Source organism: Homo sapiens, chromosome 3 (assembly GCF_000001405.40).
Source record: "Homo sapiens chromosome 3, GRCh38.p14 Primary Assembly".
Lineage (NCBI taxonomy): Eukaryota > Metazoa > Chordata > Mammalia > Primates > Hominidae > Homo > Homo sapiens.
The window spans coordinates 120650700-120668141 of NC_000003.12; the positions used below are offsets into that span (position 1 = coordinate 120650700).

The 17442-nt window shown below is 41.5% G+C and overlaps 1 protein-coding gene across 8 annotated transcripts in view; it reads right to left on the reverse strand.

Moving 5' to 3' along the window:
- HGD (homogentisate 1,2-dioxygenase) overlaps nt 1–17442 on the reverse strand; it is a 54068-nt gene that overhangs the window by 22528 nt on the left and 14098 nt on the right. For all 8 annotated transcript variants that reach the window (XM_005247412.3, NM_000187.4, XM_017006277.3 and 5 more), the window contains exons 5-6: nt 1893–1952; nt 75–166 (exon numbers count right to left, since the gene is read on the reverse strand). In XM_005247412.3, coding sequence (XP_005247469.1) covers nt 75–166; nt 1893–1952 — 152 coding nt within the window. The remainder of the gene's footprint in view (nt 1–74; nt 167–1892; nt 1953–17442) is intronic.

Genomic DNA, 17442 nt, shown 5'->3' on the forward strand with positions numbered 1-17442 from the left:
AAACCTGGAGTTTGACTTCTGGCCAAAATCCCTTAGAAGATGGGCATGTCCTTCCCTAGAACTGAGCCACTTACCTGTTCTCCATGGAGGTATTGCAGAGGAAAATGTGGATAGCAAGCCCATTGTTAGACTTTATGTCTCCAGCTCCACACAAGGTATGCAGGCCCTGGGAGAGACCCACAGAAGAGGGAAAGGTTAATGTGAACGGTGCCCAAGAGGCAGCCCTTCCACTGGTCCCTGAGGGTCATGAGGCACATTTCTACTAGGGTCTTCCCTTTGGGACCGGTGGGACGTTTGGAATCCAGGCAGCCTCTAAGGAGCCTGAATTTACTGACTCATGTTTGGTAGTTTGTGGTTTACCCTAGTCTCCAGCCATGGCCTAAATCTGGGTTGTCTTAGTGGCTATATCAGAAGAACTTACAGAGTATCAGTTCATTACTTGGTATTTTATCAATTTGATGCTTGACATCAACTGGAAGAAGAGATTCTGTTGGAGGTACCATCAGGCATCTAGGAGGCTTGGGGAGGAAGGTTGCAGCATCAGGGACCAGTTAATGCCTCTCAAGTACACTCCACTATGGGCAGCCCTCTGCTTATGGATAGGGTCAGCCTAATCTCTCTGGAACAGGGCAGAGGACTGTATTCAGATGGACTGTAATTCTCTCTGCTGTGTGACCAGATGATCCATAGTGCAAGAAACCTTAACACATGGGTCTTCTCAAAATAGCCCTCAGCCCCAAACCTGCAGATGGAGAGCCAAAAGGAGAGAGCTCTGCGCCTCCAGATATCTACAATTCACACAAGAAAGGAGATGGGGATATCATTTTGTATTTTAACTCAATTTGTAAGTTTAGGGTATATTTAAGTGAGTCTACAAAGAGTTTGGAGCACTTAATAAAGATGAGAACTTCAAGATGTTTCCAACAATTTATCCTATGGCTCGGCACTTGGAGTGTCCCTACGTAAGCCATGAGCTGAGGCTGGTCTGCAGAACCCTCCACTGGTCTCTTTGAGCCCCACTTCCTTAGAGCTCCTTTCTCCTCTCCCCCAGATACTCCTTGCTCTGTGCAGTTATTCCAGTACTCCTGGGACCTATAACTACCAAACAGAGCTTCCAATCAGCATTGTACTAACTAGAGTTGCCATGTTGAATTGACGCCATTCTAGCCCAAGCATCTACTTCAGGGAGATTTATGAACTTGGATGGGAAATATTTTATATTTACTTTTGCTAATCTCTGAGTGAAATTTATCATTTCTTTCAACTAATATGAATGTAGGCAAAAAACCACAGCAGTATTAGAGGTGCCTGTAACTTTATCAATGATAAAAATCATGGATATCACATTATAGTTGTTATAGATACCTCAAAGTATATTTATGCTCATACCAGAATTATTAGATGTTTTCCATAGATATTATGATTTAGCACATTAACAAGAAAGCACATGAATGACTATAAACCAAATCAAATTTGTTTTTAATAGTATTTTTATCGTTATATTTCAATATCATTAGCTTCTTTGTAATTTTATATAATTTATTTTATATATTTATAAACAAAGACATCATCAGACATCAGACATCAAAGTGAGAAAAAGGTTAAAAGCCCCCGTTCTAGCCAAAAGAAAGGAACTTAAGTAAGAAAATGTTCAATTGTCATTGGCCTTTCTGAGATATAAATAGTTCATGAATACCCTCTGGTGTCAGGGGCCATATGGTTTCTGTAAGTAAGACATCCCTCCGCCAGCCCCCAAAGCATACGCAGGTGGTTTTGTCTCTGCTGCCTCCTGATAGGGCTGCTTCTGCTTGGCATTCAGGCTGCAAATGGTTGGCTCACTCACCACAGAAGAGAGGAGAGCAGTAGGGAGGGTGTGGATGGGACTGACTTACACTCACAAAGTCTACTTTCTTCTGAGATGCTTTTGGAATCTCAAATGGTTTCCATCTAAGCTGGAAAAAAAATACACATACAGAAAAATTACTTCACAAGGGTAAACCATAGACCTTCTAAATAAATAGCATCAATTACATAGAAAAGAAAGGACAGCTACCCCCTCTGTGAGGCTCTACTTGTGATTTTGTTATATTAAAATGATTATCCATCATTTCCTTAAAGGGACTCTGTTAGTGTGTGTTATTTGTGCACGTGCACACACATGTTTGTGTGTTTAAAACTATGTGAATATAAACTGCTTTTGTTCCTTAGCACTTTAGATTATAAAAATAAAACCATTGCTTCCTTTTTTAGAAGCTATTTGTTTCTTTTAACATTTTGCCCAGGCACATCAGTGAGTTTTGACTGATGCTGCTTTTCATGCTATTTATAATCAGGTCCCTTTCCTGGCATGCCAGCCTCCCTGTGTGGGCTCCTGACACTGCAGGGGAAGGTTCTACTTCTACTTCAAGCCCTTAGAGTTCTAAATTGTTTTTTTAAGAGAAAGAAAGAGCACCCAGCTGAGATCTGATTTGGTAAATGCAGTACCAGGTTCAGCTGCTTCACCAAACCCCACGTTTGTCCCTAGGCTGCCTGACAGTTCAGTTTAAATCACAACAATCTTTAATTTAATAATGAAATGATCTAAGGAAGAGGGGAGGAAAATCAGCAGGTTTAGGCCCTTCTTGAAGTGTCAGCCCAGCGCTTATTAATCAACTTGGCAGCAGGCCTGACTTATCCAGGCTGGCAGCTGATAAGCCCAGCTGCCACGTTTCATGGAGCGACCCGCACCCTGAAGACTAGCTCCACTGGCTGCAGCACCTGGTCAAGGTGGGCTTGGCAGGGCCTCCATCAGGTCATAGGGCTCAGCTCATTCTGTATTTCAGGGAGGCAGCCAGATGGGAAAGGAAGCAGCAAGTGGAAAAGGCAGCCTTGGGATTATTCTGCCTCTCTGACACACACAGTCAGGCAGCAGCCTTCATTTCTTAAAAGCAAAGCAGGATGGTCACATTAAAAGATACTTAAAAAGGATGTAAAATGTTGATTTGGGAAACAGTGCTGAAATCATGCTTCAGAAAGAAGGAAATGCTTTAGGACTAATTTCATTAAGGATGGTATCTCTTAGGGGTATAATAGGGGGACCTGAGGGCAAGGATCTAGGAAATGGTTTCTCAATCTTGGCACTATTGACAGTTTACACGAAATAATTCTTTGTTGTGGGGAGGTGTTCTGTGCATTGTGGGATGCTTAGCATCATCCATGGCCTGCCTCCACCAGGTTCCAGTGACATTCCACCAAGCTGTAACAACCAAAAATGTCTCCAGAAATTGCCAAACATCACTTGGGGGAAATTTTCTCCCAGTTGAGAACCACTGACCTGGGAGGATATTTCCCTAACATCAGGAAGTGCCACAGCTAAGCACTGCTGGATTTTTTAGGGGAAGTTCTGGTCTACCACTAAACATTACCTGCTGCTTCCTTCTATAGTAACAGAGCAGAGTATTTATACCCAGGAAGATTGTTAGGAAGACAATACTACCTAGAATCTTAGTTTCAGAAAGAAAATCCAGAAAGAGTCATCTTTCTGGATTTCCCAGTAGAAGGGATTTAAGTATCAGATCAATGGTTGCCTGCGTAATCTTTTAGCTCTATCCAGAGATTCTCAATCCTGGCCACTCATGAGAATCACATGGAGAGCCTTTGAGACCAAGACCAAATTAAATCAGAATCTGTGAAGGTAGGGCCCAGACATCGGTATTTTATAAAAGTTCTTCTAATGTGCAGCTAGGGTTTAAGAACCCAATCCAGAGGTTCTGTGATTCTTGTATTGATGAACCAAGCATCATACTCAGAAAAGTCCATCCAGTCAACAAACCAACCAACCCACCAACTGATCAATCAACTAAATTCTGGCATCTTGGGCCATACGTGGCAGTGACAATGCCAGTTACTAAATAGCAGGAGTGATTAATTAGTACAAGTCTAAGGATTTACAAATCTAAGGAAAAAAGTGATCAAGAAAAAAGAAGAAAGAGCAAGGGGAAAGAAAGAAGAGAGAGAGGGAGAAATCCCAGTAGCAGGGGATTTTCTGCCTGGTTTGTTGTACTGGGACAATATCTTTGTACATCTGCCTGATGTTAAAATACCTGTGGTAAGGCCAGGGGCGGTGGCTCACGCCTGTAATTCCAGCACCTTTGGAGGCCAAGGTGGGTGGATCATGAGGTCAGGAGTTCGAGACAAGCCTGGCCAACATAGTGAAACCCCATCTCTACTAAAAATACAAAAATTAGCTGGGTGTGGTGGCATGCACCTGTAGTCCCAGCTACTCAGGAAGCTGAGGCAGAAGAATCTTCTGAACCTGGGAGGTGGAGGTTGCAGTGAGCCAAGACCTCACCATTGCACTCCAGCTTGGGTGACAGAGTGAGACTCTGTCTAAAAAACAAAAAACAACAAAAACAACAACAACAAAACAAACAAACAAACAAAAACCTTGCTGTGAGTGGTAATAAAGTCCTGGCCCTCAGAGAAGGGGTTTGTCTTCTTTGAGTGGAAAAGGTTGAGCCAGAGAGACTGATGGGTTGACCAGGTCAGCTGGTCATTTTTCAAGGTCTTCTGTAGCACATTAGCCCTCAAGTCATGAGAACAGAGAGCCTGAGGTGGTGGAAGAAAATGCAACTACATTTCATAGTGAAGAGAACATACCTTCAATAGGGCCCACAATCCGGAAGAAGCAACGACCTTGACGAACCTTCTCTAATGCAAAAAATGATCCCCACCAAATGACAGAGATAGTATAGGGAGAGGAGTCATTTATCTGTTGGCCCTGATGGCAGAAGATTATACAGAATCTATATTCAGATCATACTGGGCCTGTATCATGAAGGATAAGAAAATCCCCAAGGTGGTTCTGATAAACTCAGTACTCACAAGAGAAAGCAGAGATTTTGGTCAGGAGCGCTGATGTGATATTTTGATAAGTGTGAGGAGGGAGATTTGAGCAGAGGATTAATAGGAAGAGTCCATGGAGTGCATGGTACAAACATCTACTAAAGCCAGCTGCAGCTTTATTGTATGCTGTGGAGCAGTAACTCTCTGAGCCAAGGCCAGACCAAAAGGAGAGTGCACTGAAGACTTGGTTTTTGCTACTGTCTCTGTTCCCGTTTTCTCTGTGATCTTCAGGAAAGCCATTTTCTCTCCCAAATTTTGTTTTTTTCTTACATATAACAACAGGTGCTGGTGAGAACTATAATTCCATAATTCTCTCCAGAGGAGAAACTCTGAAAGAAGTAAAGGATGCTTGCTGACTGATTTAGTCCTTGATATGCACTAAATTGTGTCCTCTTCCAAATTTGTGTGTTGAAGCCCTAACCTTCAATGTGACTATGTTTAGAGATGGGTTTTAAAGTTAAAAGAGATCATAAATGTGGGGCCCTAATCTGATAGGATTGATGGCCTTATAAGAAGAAGAGATCTCTCTCTCTGCTTGCACTCAGAGGATAGGCTATGTGAGGATACAGTAAGAAGGACTGTCTTTAAACCAAAGAGGAGCCTCACAAGACATCAACCCTGCTAACACCTCGGACTTGGACTCTCAGTTTTCAGAACTGTAAGAAGATACATTTCTGTTGTTTAAACTACCCAGTCTGTGGTATTTTGTTATGGCAGCTTGATCAGACTAATATAGTCCTACAACTTTTAAAAATAGTTTATTTTATTTATACTATATGCTATTGTTAAATAGCTTCTTCTCTATAGAATTTACTTATTAAACATTTCAAAAATAATAAAATCAATTGTAATGCCCAATGCAATGGCTTGACTATAGTAGGCATTAATATTTGTTGAATGACTGAATAGATGAATAAATCTAAGGCACTAACAACATTGCTAAGAACAAGAATAAAGTAAATTTTTGAGATCTTTTTTTTGGGGGGGGGTTGGAGTCGCGCTCTGTTACCCAGGCTGGAGTGCAGTGGCGCGATATTGGCTCACTGCAACCTCCACCTCCTGGGTTCAAGCGATTCTACTGCCTCAGCCTCCTGAGTAGCTGGGACTGCAGGTGCATGCCCCCATGCCCGGGTAGTTTTTGTATTTTTAGTAGAGATGAGGTTTCACCATGTTGGCCAGGCTGGTCTCGAACTTCTGACCTCAGGTGATCCACTTGCCTCGCCCTCCCAAAGTGCTGGGATTACAGGCATGAGCCACTGTGCCTGGACCGTGAGATCTTTTGGAAGTCAAAATAACATTCAGGCGATGTCTAGAAAATCAAATATTTCTAAAAGTCCAAAGGTAAAATGTCAGTTCTTCACACGTGTAAAATCGTCACTTCCATATCCTTTCTTTTTTAAAAAACTTTTTTTCCAATCCTGCTCCTTCTGTAGATCACTTCTGTATCTTTTCTGACTTTCTGTTCAGTTGTTCTATCAACTGTTGAGAGAGGGGTGTTGAAGTCTCCAACTAAAATTGTGGATTTGTCTATTTATCCTTTTAGTTGTATTATTGCTTCACATATTTTACAACTGTATTCTATGAGTTCTATTGGAAGATAAACTTTTACTTGCTAGAAATGAGGTGGTCAAAAATAATTTGAAAGCATCTTTAAGGGTGTCCAAAGTTAGAATTAAAAATTACTTAAGATTACCAAAGGAGGAAGACAGAATTGGTATCAACATTTGATTATCAAGATTCAAAATTCATGCTCAGAGATGAAAAGAAAATATTAGATAATTGGCCTAAATATTTCCAGTTAGAATACTGGGAGTTGAACTAGATGATCCAAGTATCCCTTTCAAAACTGAAATTCTTTAATTTACTGAGATTCCCTCCAAATTTCCCATGGACTCAACTAGATTGGATGACTTGAGTACTCTCAACAACACTGGCTGAGGATAGACAGACATATCATTAGAAGTGAGTACCACCTATCCAAGAATTTTGAAGTAATTTCTCGGTGAAATAGTCATCATAGTGTACATATTAGTCTGTTCTCACATTGCTATAAAGAATTACCTGATACTGGGTAATTTATAAAGAAAAGAGGTTTAACTGGCTCACAGTTCTTCAGACTGTACAGGAAGCATGATGCTGGCATCTGCTCAGTTTCTGAGGAGGCGTCAAGAAATGTACAATCATGACAGAAGGTGAAGCAGGAGAAGGCATGGCTTACATTGCAGGAACAGGAGTGAGAGAGAGAGAGAGAGAGAAAGAGAGAGAGAAAGAAAGAGAGAGAGAGAGGTGGGAGGTGCCACACACTTTTCAATGACCAGATCTCATGAGAACTCACTCACTATCATGAGGACAGTACCAACAGGGATGGTGCTAAACCATTCATGAGAAACTGTCCCCAAGATCCAATCACCTCCTGCCAGGCCCCACCTCCAACATTAGGGATTATAATTTGATATGAAATTTGGGTAGGGACACAGATCCAAACCATATTATTCTGCCCTTGGCTCCTTCCAAATCTCCTGTCCTTCTCACATGTCAAAATATAACCATGCCTTCCCAGCAGTGCCCAAAAGTCTTAACTCATTCTAGTATTAACTCAAATGTCCAAAGTCTCATCTGAGACAAGTTAAGTCCCTTCCACCTATGAGCCTGTAAAATATAAAATAAGTTAGTTACTTCCAAGATACAATGGGGGTATAGACATTAGGTAAATACTTCCATTTCAAAAGGGAGAAATTGGCCAGAACAAAGGGTCTATAGGCCCCGTGCATGTCTGAAACACAGCAGGGAAGTCATTAAATTTTAAAGCTCCAAAAAAATCTCCTTTGACCTAATGTCCCACATCCAGGGTACACTGGTGTGAGGGGTGGGCTACCAAGGTCTTGGTCAGCCCCACTCAGGTGGCTTTGCAGGATTCAGCACCTGCGGCTGCTCTCATGGGCTGCCATTGAGTGCCTGTGGCTTTTTCAGGTGCACGGTGCAATCTGTGGATGGATCTACCTTTCTGGAGTCTAGAGAATGGTAGCCCTCTTCTCATAGCTCCACTAGGCAATGCCCCAGCGGGGACTCTGTGTGGGAGCTCCAACCCCACATTTCCCCTCCATACTGCCCTAGTAGAGGTTCTCTGTGAGCACTCCGCCCCTGCAGCTGGCTTCTGCCTGAACATTTAAGTTTTCTATACATCCTCTAAAATCTAGGTGGGGGCTCCCAGGCCTTAACTCTTGTATCCTGTGCACCTGCAGTCTTAACACCACATGGAAGCTACCAAGGCTTATGGCTTGCACCCTTTGAAGCGGTGCTTGGATCCCTTTGAGCCACAGGAGGAGCTGGAGCAGCTGGGATGCAGAAAACAGTGTCCTGAGGCTGTGCAGGGTAGCAAGGCCCTGGGCCTGGCCCACAAAATCATTCTTCCCTCCTAGGCCTCTGGGCCTGTGATGGGATGAACTGCCCCAAAGGTCTGTGAAATGCCTTTGAGGCCTTTCCCACATTGTCTTGGCTATCAGCATTTGGCTCCTTTTTATTTATGCAAATTTCTGCAGCCAGTTTGAATTCTTCTCCTGAAAATGGGCTTTTCTTTTCTACCACATGGCCAGGCTGCAAAATTTCCTAACTTTTACACTCTACTTCCCTTTAAATACAAGTTAAAATTTAAATATAGGTTTAAATCTAAACTTATTTTTAAATTTAAGTTCCAACTTCAGGTCATTTATTTGCTCATGCATGTGGGCATAGGCGGTTAGAAGCAGCCTGGTCACATGTTGAATGCTTTGCTGCTTAGAAATTTCTTGTACCAGACACCTTAAATCATCATTCTCAAGTTCAGAGTTCCACAGATCCCTAGGGCAGGAGCACAATGCAGTCAAGTTCTTTGCTAAGGCATAACAAGTTTGACCTTTGATCTAGTTCCCAGTAAGTTCCTCATTTTCATTTGAGATCTCCTCAGCCTGGACTTTATTGTTCATGTCACTATTGGCATTTTTGTCACAACAATTTAACAAGTCTCTAGGAAGTTTGAAACTAACCCTCATCTTCCTGTCTTCTGAGCCCTCCACACTCTTCCAACCTCTGCCAGTTATCCAGTTCCAAAGTCACTTCCACATTTTCAGGTTATCTTTATAGCAATGTCCCACTCCTTGGTACCAATTTTCTTTGTTAGTTCGTTCTTGCACTGCTATAAACAAAGACCTAAGATTGAGTAATTTATAAAGAAAAGAGGTTTGATTGGCTCACAGTTCTGCAGGCTGCACAGGAAACATAGCAGCTTCTGCTTCTGGAGAGGCTCAGAAAGTTTTCAATCATGGCAGAAGGCAAAGATATGATGGGAGCATCTCATATGATGGGAGCAGGAGCAAGAGAGAGTGGGGGGTGGTTGCATAATGGGGGTGGATTTCTCACGAATGGCTTAGCACTACCCTCTTGGTGCTGTTCTCATGACAGTGAGTTCTCATGAGATCTGGTCTTTAAAAGCGTGTAGCACCTCCCTCCTCTCTCTCTTGCTCCTGCTCCTGCCATCTGAGATACCTTGCTCCCCCTTTGCCTTCCACCATGATTGGAAGCATCCTGAGGCCCCTCCCAGAAGCAGAAGCCACTATGCTTCCTGTACACCCTGTGGAACTATGAGCCTCCTTTCTTTGTAAGTTACCCAGTCTCAGGAATTTCTTTATAGCAGTGCAAGAATGGACTAATACAATGTATAAATAGTTGTTAGCAGAGAGATCCAGGGTAATTTGTGGTGGTGAGTTTCAGTCCAGACTAAGAAAGATAGGAAGGATTAAAATAAAACAGTGGCTCACTTGAATTCTTCAGAAACTTTGGAAGTTTGAGGAAAAAAAGGTAGCATGAATTATGTGGAGAGAAATCAGGCTTTGGTTGATCCGTTGGAGTTCTTTGAGGTGATAGGCAAGAATATAGATAATGAGGATCCAAGTCACTGTAATTTAGATTTCTAAAAGTCTTTCAGGCCAAGCGAGGTGGTTCACGCCTGTAATCCCAGCACTTTGGGAGGCCGAGGCGGCCAGATCACCTGAGATGAGGAGTTCGAGACCAGCCTGGCCAACATGGTGAAACCATGTCTCTACTAAAAATACAAAAATTAGCCGGGCATGGTGGTGGGCACCTGTAATCCCAGCTACTTGGGAGGCTGAGGCAGGAGAATCGCTTGAACCCAAGAGGAGGAGATTGCAGTGAGCTGATATCACAACACTGTACTCCAGCCTGTACTCAAAAAACAAAACAAAACATAACAAAAGTCTTTCATGAGGCTACAAATGAAGATGAGCCATCAAGGATGAAAACTTGGATTCTCATTTGACCTTGTCCTTGAATGTAAAGCTAAGAGCTTTAAATCCATTACCTAGCACCTAGCACGAAGTATAGAACATAATAGTCACTCAATAAATATTTGTTGGATGACATTTAATTCTCACAACAACTCTCTGAGGCTCCCTATGATTATTATTATCATCTCTATTTTAGAAGTGAAAAAACTGATGGTTTAGAACAGTTAAATTTTCTCTACTAAGAACTGATGCCAACACTTTCTCAGACCCTCTTACTAACCTACACCCTGAGCCCTTTGATCTTAGCCTGTCTTGACCTGTTTCCCAAATTATTCCTGATCTCCTTGGCTCCTAAACCCAAGCTTTCCCTCCTTTTAATGGTCTTGTACCTGGTCTTCCAAATTGACCTTTGTTTACTGTTCCTCCAGTGCTGAATCACCCTGGCCAGTCTGATTCCTGGGACACTAACCCTGCTTAGGTCCTTCAGGGTTAATGTTTCTTGTCTAATCCCCTTATATTAATTATTTCAAACAGTATTTATTGAACCTCTCTGTGTGCCAGATTTTATGCTAGATGCTGGAGGTGAACATGACATTGTCTCTTCCCTCAGGTAATCCATTACAGAAGATCCTGGAAATGTGAAAACCTCATGATAGAAAAACAAGGAAGTGGATCAGTGCAAATAACTTTGGAAGAGAAATGTAAATAGAAATGTTCTCTCAGGAATAAGTCCTGGCACAGGGCCTATTTAACATTCTTATATATGGAAAATAAGAGATATAAGCAATGAAATCATCTGGTTTGCAGACAGCGCCAATATCTTTGCAAGAAGTGAAATGTAAGTTGATGGAGATGAAATGTAAAAAGAGCTAGCAAGCTGTCCAAAAGGGCTGAGCAGGGGAATGTGCACTGTAATGTTGGCACACACCACTGAATGCATTTAGAGAAATGCAATCTAATTTATTTATAGAATGATAGGATCTGAACTATCAGGGAGTAAATTCAACAAATACTTGCGATTCTATTTGGAAGAAGGCATGTACTGGATACTGCAGATCAGATGAAGATGATAGAGACATAGAACCTTAAATACTCTGAGAAATATTGAAAGGGCATAATGAAGAAAGTATTATTTAAAATGAATCATAAATCGTGAGTGAGATTTAGATGGGTGAGTATTTGTGATGGAAGAACAGGAAATCCCAGGTAGATAAAATGACGATGGTTCTAGTGTGACTGATAGGTAGGGGACATGGAAGTGAGTGGAGAGTCTGAAAGGCTGTGATAGTGAATCAGAGCTCTTGATCTCTTATCTGGAAGCCTGCACTGGATTGGCTGGGCAGTGGAGGGGGCGGGTGATGGTTAGATTTAAAGATTTTTGAGATGATAATTTAGCACGCTGATTCTGGCAGCACGGTGTGGGATAGGGAGGGGAAGACATAGGAATCAGGTAGAAGGTCATTAAAATAGTCTAGGTAAGAAGAAATGAGGTCTGAACCAGGTGGAGGTAGGAAAAGGAAAAAAGGAACCAGAGAGATCCTGAAAGCACACTCTACAGCAGAATTTCATAAAGTGCAGTCCAGCACCAACCTGCATGGGAGTCATCTGGGGAGACTCCTGAGTACCACCTCAGACCTACTGAACTGGGATCTCTGGGGAGCAAGACTGAGGAATCTACATTTTCAACAAGTCCCCTGGTAACTCTTATGTATACTCAGGCATCACCATTCTATGGACTTGGCACCTGATTCAGTGTAGTGAGCTAGGAAAATCCTCTATTGCTCAAGGAGTTCCTCCTGTTAGTTTGTCCCACTTGATTATTTCTTATCAACAACTATCCCTTCATCTCTAAGGCAAAGAGAATCCAAAAGAGTGGGAATCCTTAGTAGATATTTAGAGGGAAAAACAAGCAGAAGGAGAGAATTATGGGCTAGATTGTGTTCCTCCTCCAAATTCATATGTTGAACTCCTAACCCCCTGTATTTCAGAATGTGACTATATTTGGAGATGGAGTCTTTACAGGAATAATTAAACTTAAATGAGGTTACTAGAGTGGACCCTAATCTGATATGATTGTTGTCCTTATAAGAAGAGGAAATTTGGCTATAGACACAGAGGGAAGATGATGTGAGGAGCCAAGGAGAAGATACAAGTCAATGAGAGAGGCCTCAGAAGAAAGCAACCCTGCCGATACCTCAATCTTGGAATCCAGAACTGTTAGAAAGTAAATCTCTTTTGCTTAAGCCACCCAGTATCTTTTTGTTATGATAGCTCTAGCAGAACAATACAGAGGGGAAGGGGAAGGTTGGGGTGAAGAGAAGGAGAAGAAAAGAGGAGGATAAGAAAGACAGTAAGGAAGAGGAGGGGAAGAGAGAGAGTAAGTACTTCCCCTTCTCTCAGAGGGGAGATGATGACAAGGGGGAGGTGAGAGTTGTGTTAGTCCATTTTTATGCTGCTGATAAAGACATTCCCGAGAAGGAGTAATTTATAAAGGAAAAAGGTTTAATTGGACTTACAGTTCCACGTGGCTAGGAAAGCCTCACAATGATAGCAGAAGGCAAGGAGGAGAAAGTCACATCTCATTTGGGTGGCAGCAGGCAAAGAAAGAGCTTGTGCAGATAGACTACCTCCCACCAGGTCCCTCCCGTAACACGTGGGAATTCAAGATGAGATTTGGGTGGGGACACAGTCAAACTATATCAAGATTCTAGTTCAGGACCTTGAAGAATACTTATTTTGCAGGTTTGGGAATCATGCAATGTCATGGAACCCAGGGAAAAAAGGGGATTCAGGAAGAAAAGAAGGAGGTCTGTTGTTCCAGGCTGGGATGTAGAGGAGAAAAGGATTATATTTAGCGTGGATTTACTACATAATAGCAAAAATGGAAAAAATTCAAATATCTCACAATATTAGGAATTTTTATAAACATTTATTGGATTATAATATAATATCAAAAATATCTACACTCAAGAAGTTTAAAAAGACATGGAAAAAGGCGCAAAATATGATATTTAAATAAAAATAATCTAAGACTGCATTACACCATCAGCTTAATTATAGTAAATATATATGTAACTGATTTTTTTTTTAAAAGCACTATTATAAGTGTATTCATAGCCTCTTCCTCTTCCCTTCCCTGATCTCTGCGGAAAATTCAGATTTGCCTATTCTCACTGGAGTCCTTTGAACTCCAGTATTGCCATGGAGGTCACTGTTATGTGTGTGTTATCCCACATAACACCATGTGTGATCCCAGCCAAATGGGGTAGGGGATCTACAGTGCAGGTATCATTTTCTAGAGGCAGAATGTACAGGGAGGAAGAGAGAAGCCAACAATCAATGGTGACAAGGCATGAAGAGCTTGGGGAAGGTGAGAGGTGAGGTGAGAGAAGACAGATGTGAGAGGGTTGGAGTCTGGGAAAAACTGGAAAAAGGGGATTTTAAAAAGTGTTGCTGTGGGTCATATATTGGATACTGTTTAATGTCTTCAGGAAAAACAAGTAAAGATTAACTTTTCTTTTCTCTTTCTTTTCTTTCTTTCTTTCCTTCTTTCTTTTTTCTTCCTTTTTTTTTTTTTTTTTCTGAGATAGGGTTTCACACTGTTGCCCAGGCTGGAGTGCAGTGGCATGAACAGGGCTCACCACAGCCCTGACCTCCCAGGCTCGAGCAGTCTTCCCACCTCAGCCTCCTGAGTGCCTGGGACTACCGGTGCTTGCCACCATGCTCAGCTAATTTTTTTTCACATTTGTGTAGAGCCAGGGTCTTGCTATGTTGCCAGGGCTGGTCTCAAACTCCTGGACTCAAGTGAACCTCTCATCTTGGCCTCCCAAAGTGCTGGGATTACAGGCATGAGCCACTGTGCCTGGCCAGATATTATTTTAAATTACTCTTGGTTACTGGCTACATGGGACCCTAGGAATTATTTATTTACATATATGTACAAAAAGAAAGGACTGGAAAGAACCCAAAACATTAGAAGTTGTTAACTCTGTGTTAGTGGAATTACTGGGCATTGACACTTTAATGTAAGTTTTAAATAAAAATATGTATTAATTAGAGAGTGATGCACTATTGTGTAAAGAGGGTATAAATATTTTCAATAGAGTCATCTGGGCAGGCTGAATTGCATAGGGTTAAAGAGTGAATGAGGGTGATAAAGTGGGTTTAGATTATTTCTCAAGGAGTCTGGCTGTGACTAGGACAGACTTGGGCAAGAGAGGCAGGAAAATCCAAGACATTTGTGGAGGGAAGGGGATTTCAGGATGGCAAAACCTGGAAAGTTTGACAAATTAGACAGCAAATACCCTGTAAGGGTATATTGTTTTGAAACTTTTTTTTATAATTTGCATGTACTAGAGACAGAAGGCATTTTATGATATGTTCTTTAATTAGCTTTGAGGTATTTCTCACTTGATCCAAATTATACTGGTTAAGAACCAAGAGGTAATTTTCTCAGCTGAGTCTTAACTGAGTCAAGAATCTGATTTTTCAACAATCAAGAGGTTAGAATGAAATAATAAGAAAAATAAATTTTAAAGGACTCTTAAAGAGAAGTGCTAATTCAGGAATTCTAGCTGAAATCTGTAAAATCATGGTTAAATTGGATGTAGATTAGTTCATTAAATTCTGAGACTTCAGAAATTAGAGGCAGACACATAAAATTAGGTATACTTCTTATGTGAGGTATTAATTAATTGAATTTATGTCCTCAGGCTGAATTTAAATACACTCAAAAAGAGGTTGCATTAATTCTTGGATAACTGATTAAATATACACTAAAGAAAATGAAGGCTTTAGGGGGAGCAGCCCCCAGTCTTCCTGAGAGGGTATCAAGGATGACAGTGATGATCACATATTGCAAGATGCTGCCTTTGGGACTAAATGTTACACTGGAGGAATCATCAGGCAGTCCTCAGGTCTTCAAATTCCCAGAGATGACTAATGTGGATAGTTGGTGAAGCTGATGAAGTATTGGATTTGGTCTATGACAGGTGAAGACATACCTATCACACAGGCTTCAGCTGGGAAGGACTGTCAGAGGGTGCCTAAATATAATTTTCTCAGCCTTTCTTGCTGAGAGTCTGGAGTACATATTTGGAGGAGGTTATGAGGGAGAAAGTGATGAATGCAAAATGCTGTGGTTAAATAATGAAGTATAAAATTGGAAAGAGATATTAACTTGTAAAGAAGGTGTAAAAGAAAAGACAAAAGGGTAGATTTTGCAAGATCAGCCAGGGTTTATCATGGAGAGAGAAGTAGTTGGCAGGTGACAGAGGTCACAAGTCAGAAAGATAATAAACTGCTACCTGGTTGGAGCCGGTGTTCACAGAGACACTGAGACGCTATTGAATTCTGAGGCACATCTCTCCCAGTGTGTGTGAAGACAAGGTCTCAAAGGAGCAGGGAAGATATTGGAGAAGAAATTCATTTGGTGGCTACCATATAGAAAGTGTTCAGGGAATTCAAAACAGAAGAAAGGCAACAAGTTCAAGGACAAAAGCAAAGCCATTCTAACCATAGGTTAGAATGGGAGACATGGGAAGCGGGGAGAAGGGGAACAAATATGGGCTGAGGGTCTGCTAGAAAACAAGCAGAAACTTCCAATGCAGCTATTATTATTATTGTCATTATTATTTTGAGATGGAGTTTTGCTCTTGTTGCCCAGGCTGTAGTCCAATGGTGCAATCTTGGCTCACCACAACCTCCGCCTCCTGGGTTCAAGCAATTTTCCTGCCTCAGCCTCCCGAGTAGTTGGGAATTCAGGCATGCACCACCACACCTGGCTAATTTTGTATTTTTAGTAGAGATGGTGTTTCTCCATGTTGGTCAAGCTGTTCTCGATCTCCTGACCTCAGGTAAGGCTGGTCTCAAACTCCCAGTCTCAGGTCATCTGCCTGCCTTGGCCTCCCAAAGTGCTGGGATTACAGGCATGAGCCACCATGCCCACCCTGATACAGCTATTTTGATGCCTCTGTATTAACTCAAGCTTTTTAATCCAGTTGCTTCAAACTTCCTGGTCAAAATGTATGTCAACTATTTATGAAATAATGAATTAACATGTACAACTTATATACTTGACTCTCACTTAATGATGGGAGACGTCCAGTAATATTTTATTAATTTCTACAATACTTTTGGGTTTTTATAAGTATATTTTACTCATACAATCAGACAAAGCTAAGCTGGGTGCAGTGGTGCATGCCTGTAATTCCAGCACTTTGGGAGGCTCAGGCAGGCAGATTGCTTGAGCCCAGGAGTTCGAGACCAGCCTGAGCAATATGGTAAAACCCTTTCTCTACCAAAAATACAAAAAATTAGCTGGCCATTGTGGTGCACACCTGTATTCCCAGCTACTCAGGGGACTGAGGTAGGAGGATCATCTGAGCCTGGGAAGTCAAGGCTGCAGTGAGCTGTGATCACACCACTGTACTCCCGCCTGAGCAACAGGGTGAGACTCTTGTCTCAAAAAAAAAAAAAAAAAAAAAAAAAGACAAAGCTAGAAAAATTCTATTAGAACAAGATTGTCTTCCATGGATATGTCACACGAACTCCAAAATAGTTCCTATGAAAGGGTGTATTCATGTTAAATAAAATGTAGCAATGATAGTCAAGGAAATAATAATATATAATAAAGGTATATTACTGAGCATATTACACATCACACTCAAAGTAGAGTCACATCACATATTTTCTTTAAAGGTTAGGTTTAAAACCTAACCTCCCACCCCGAATAAAACTATGTAAAAGAAGTATGGCTCCACTGTTGTCCACACAACTATAAACAGATCTATGAAGATTTATTAAGGTTGAGAGGCTTAGAAAATTGTTGTGATCGACATGAGCAGGCAGGAGCCCTGGAACTCCCCAGCCTACCCTGTTAACCACTACTGATTTGATTGCTATCTTGAAGCAAAATAATAATAAATAATTATTTTTCATTATAAATAAACAATAATTTAAATTATCCAAATCTGCCCATGGACTTTTCTTATAATCCCTCATTTAGTTAACTTCATATACATAATTACTATACCCATATTACTTGAATCCACATGAGACTCAGGAATGAGGTGAAGTCAGGGTCCCCAGGTTGGTTGTGCAAGCTGTGCCCTGTGCAAGGGCCTTGTCCCACTGAAGGGGAAAGGGAGGAGCTGAATGCCTCGTCTGTGTCCCTTTGTGTGGGGGACTGAGTCTAAGGGGTTGGGGGTTAGAATAGGGGCTGCATTTTGCAATGTGCTTAAAGGCAATATATAGGCCAGCTGGGGACCAGGGAGGATGT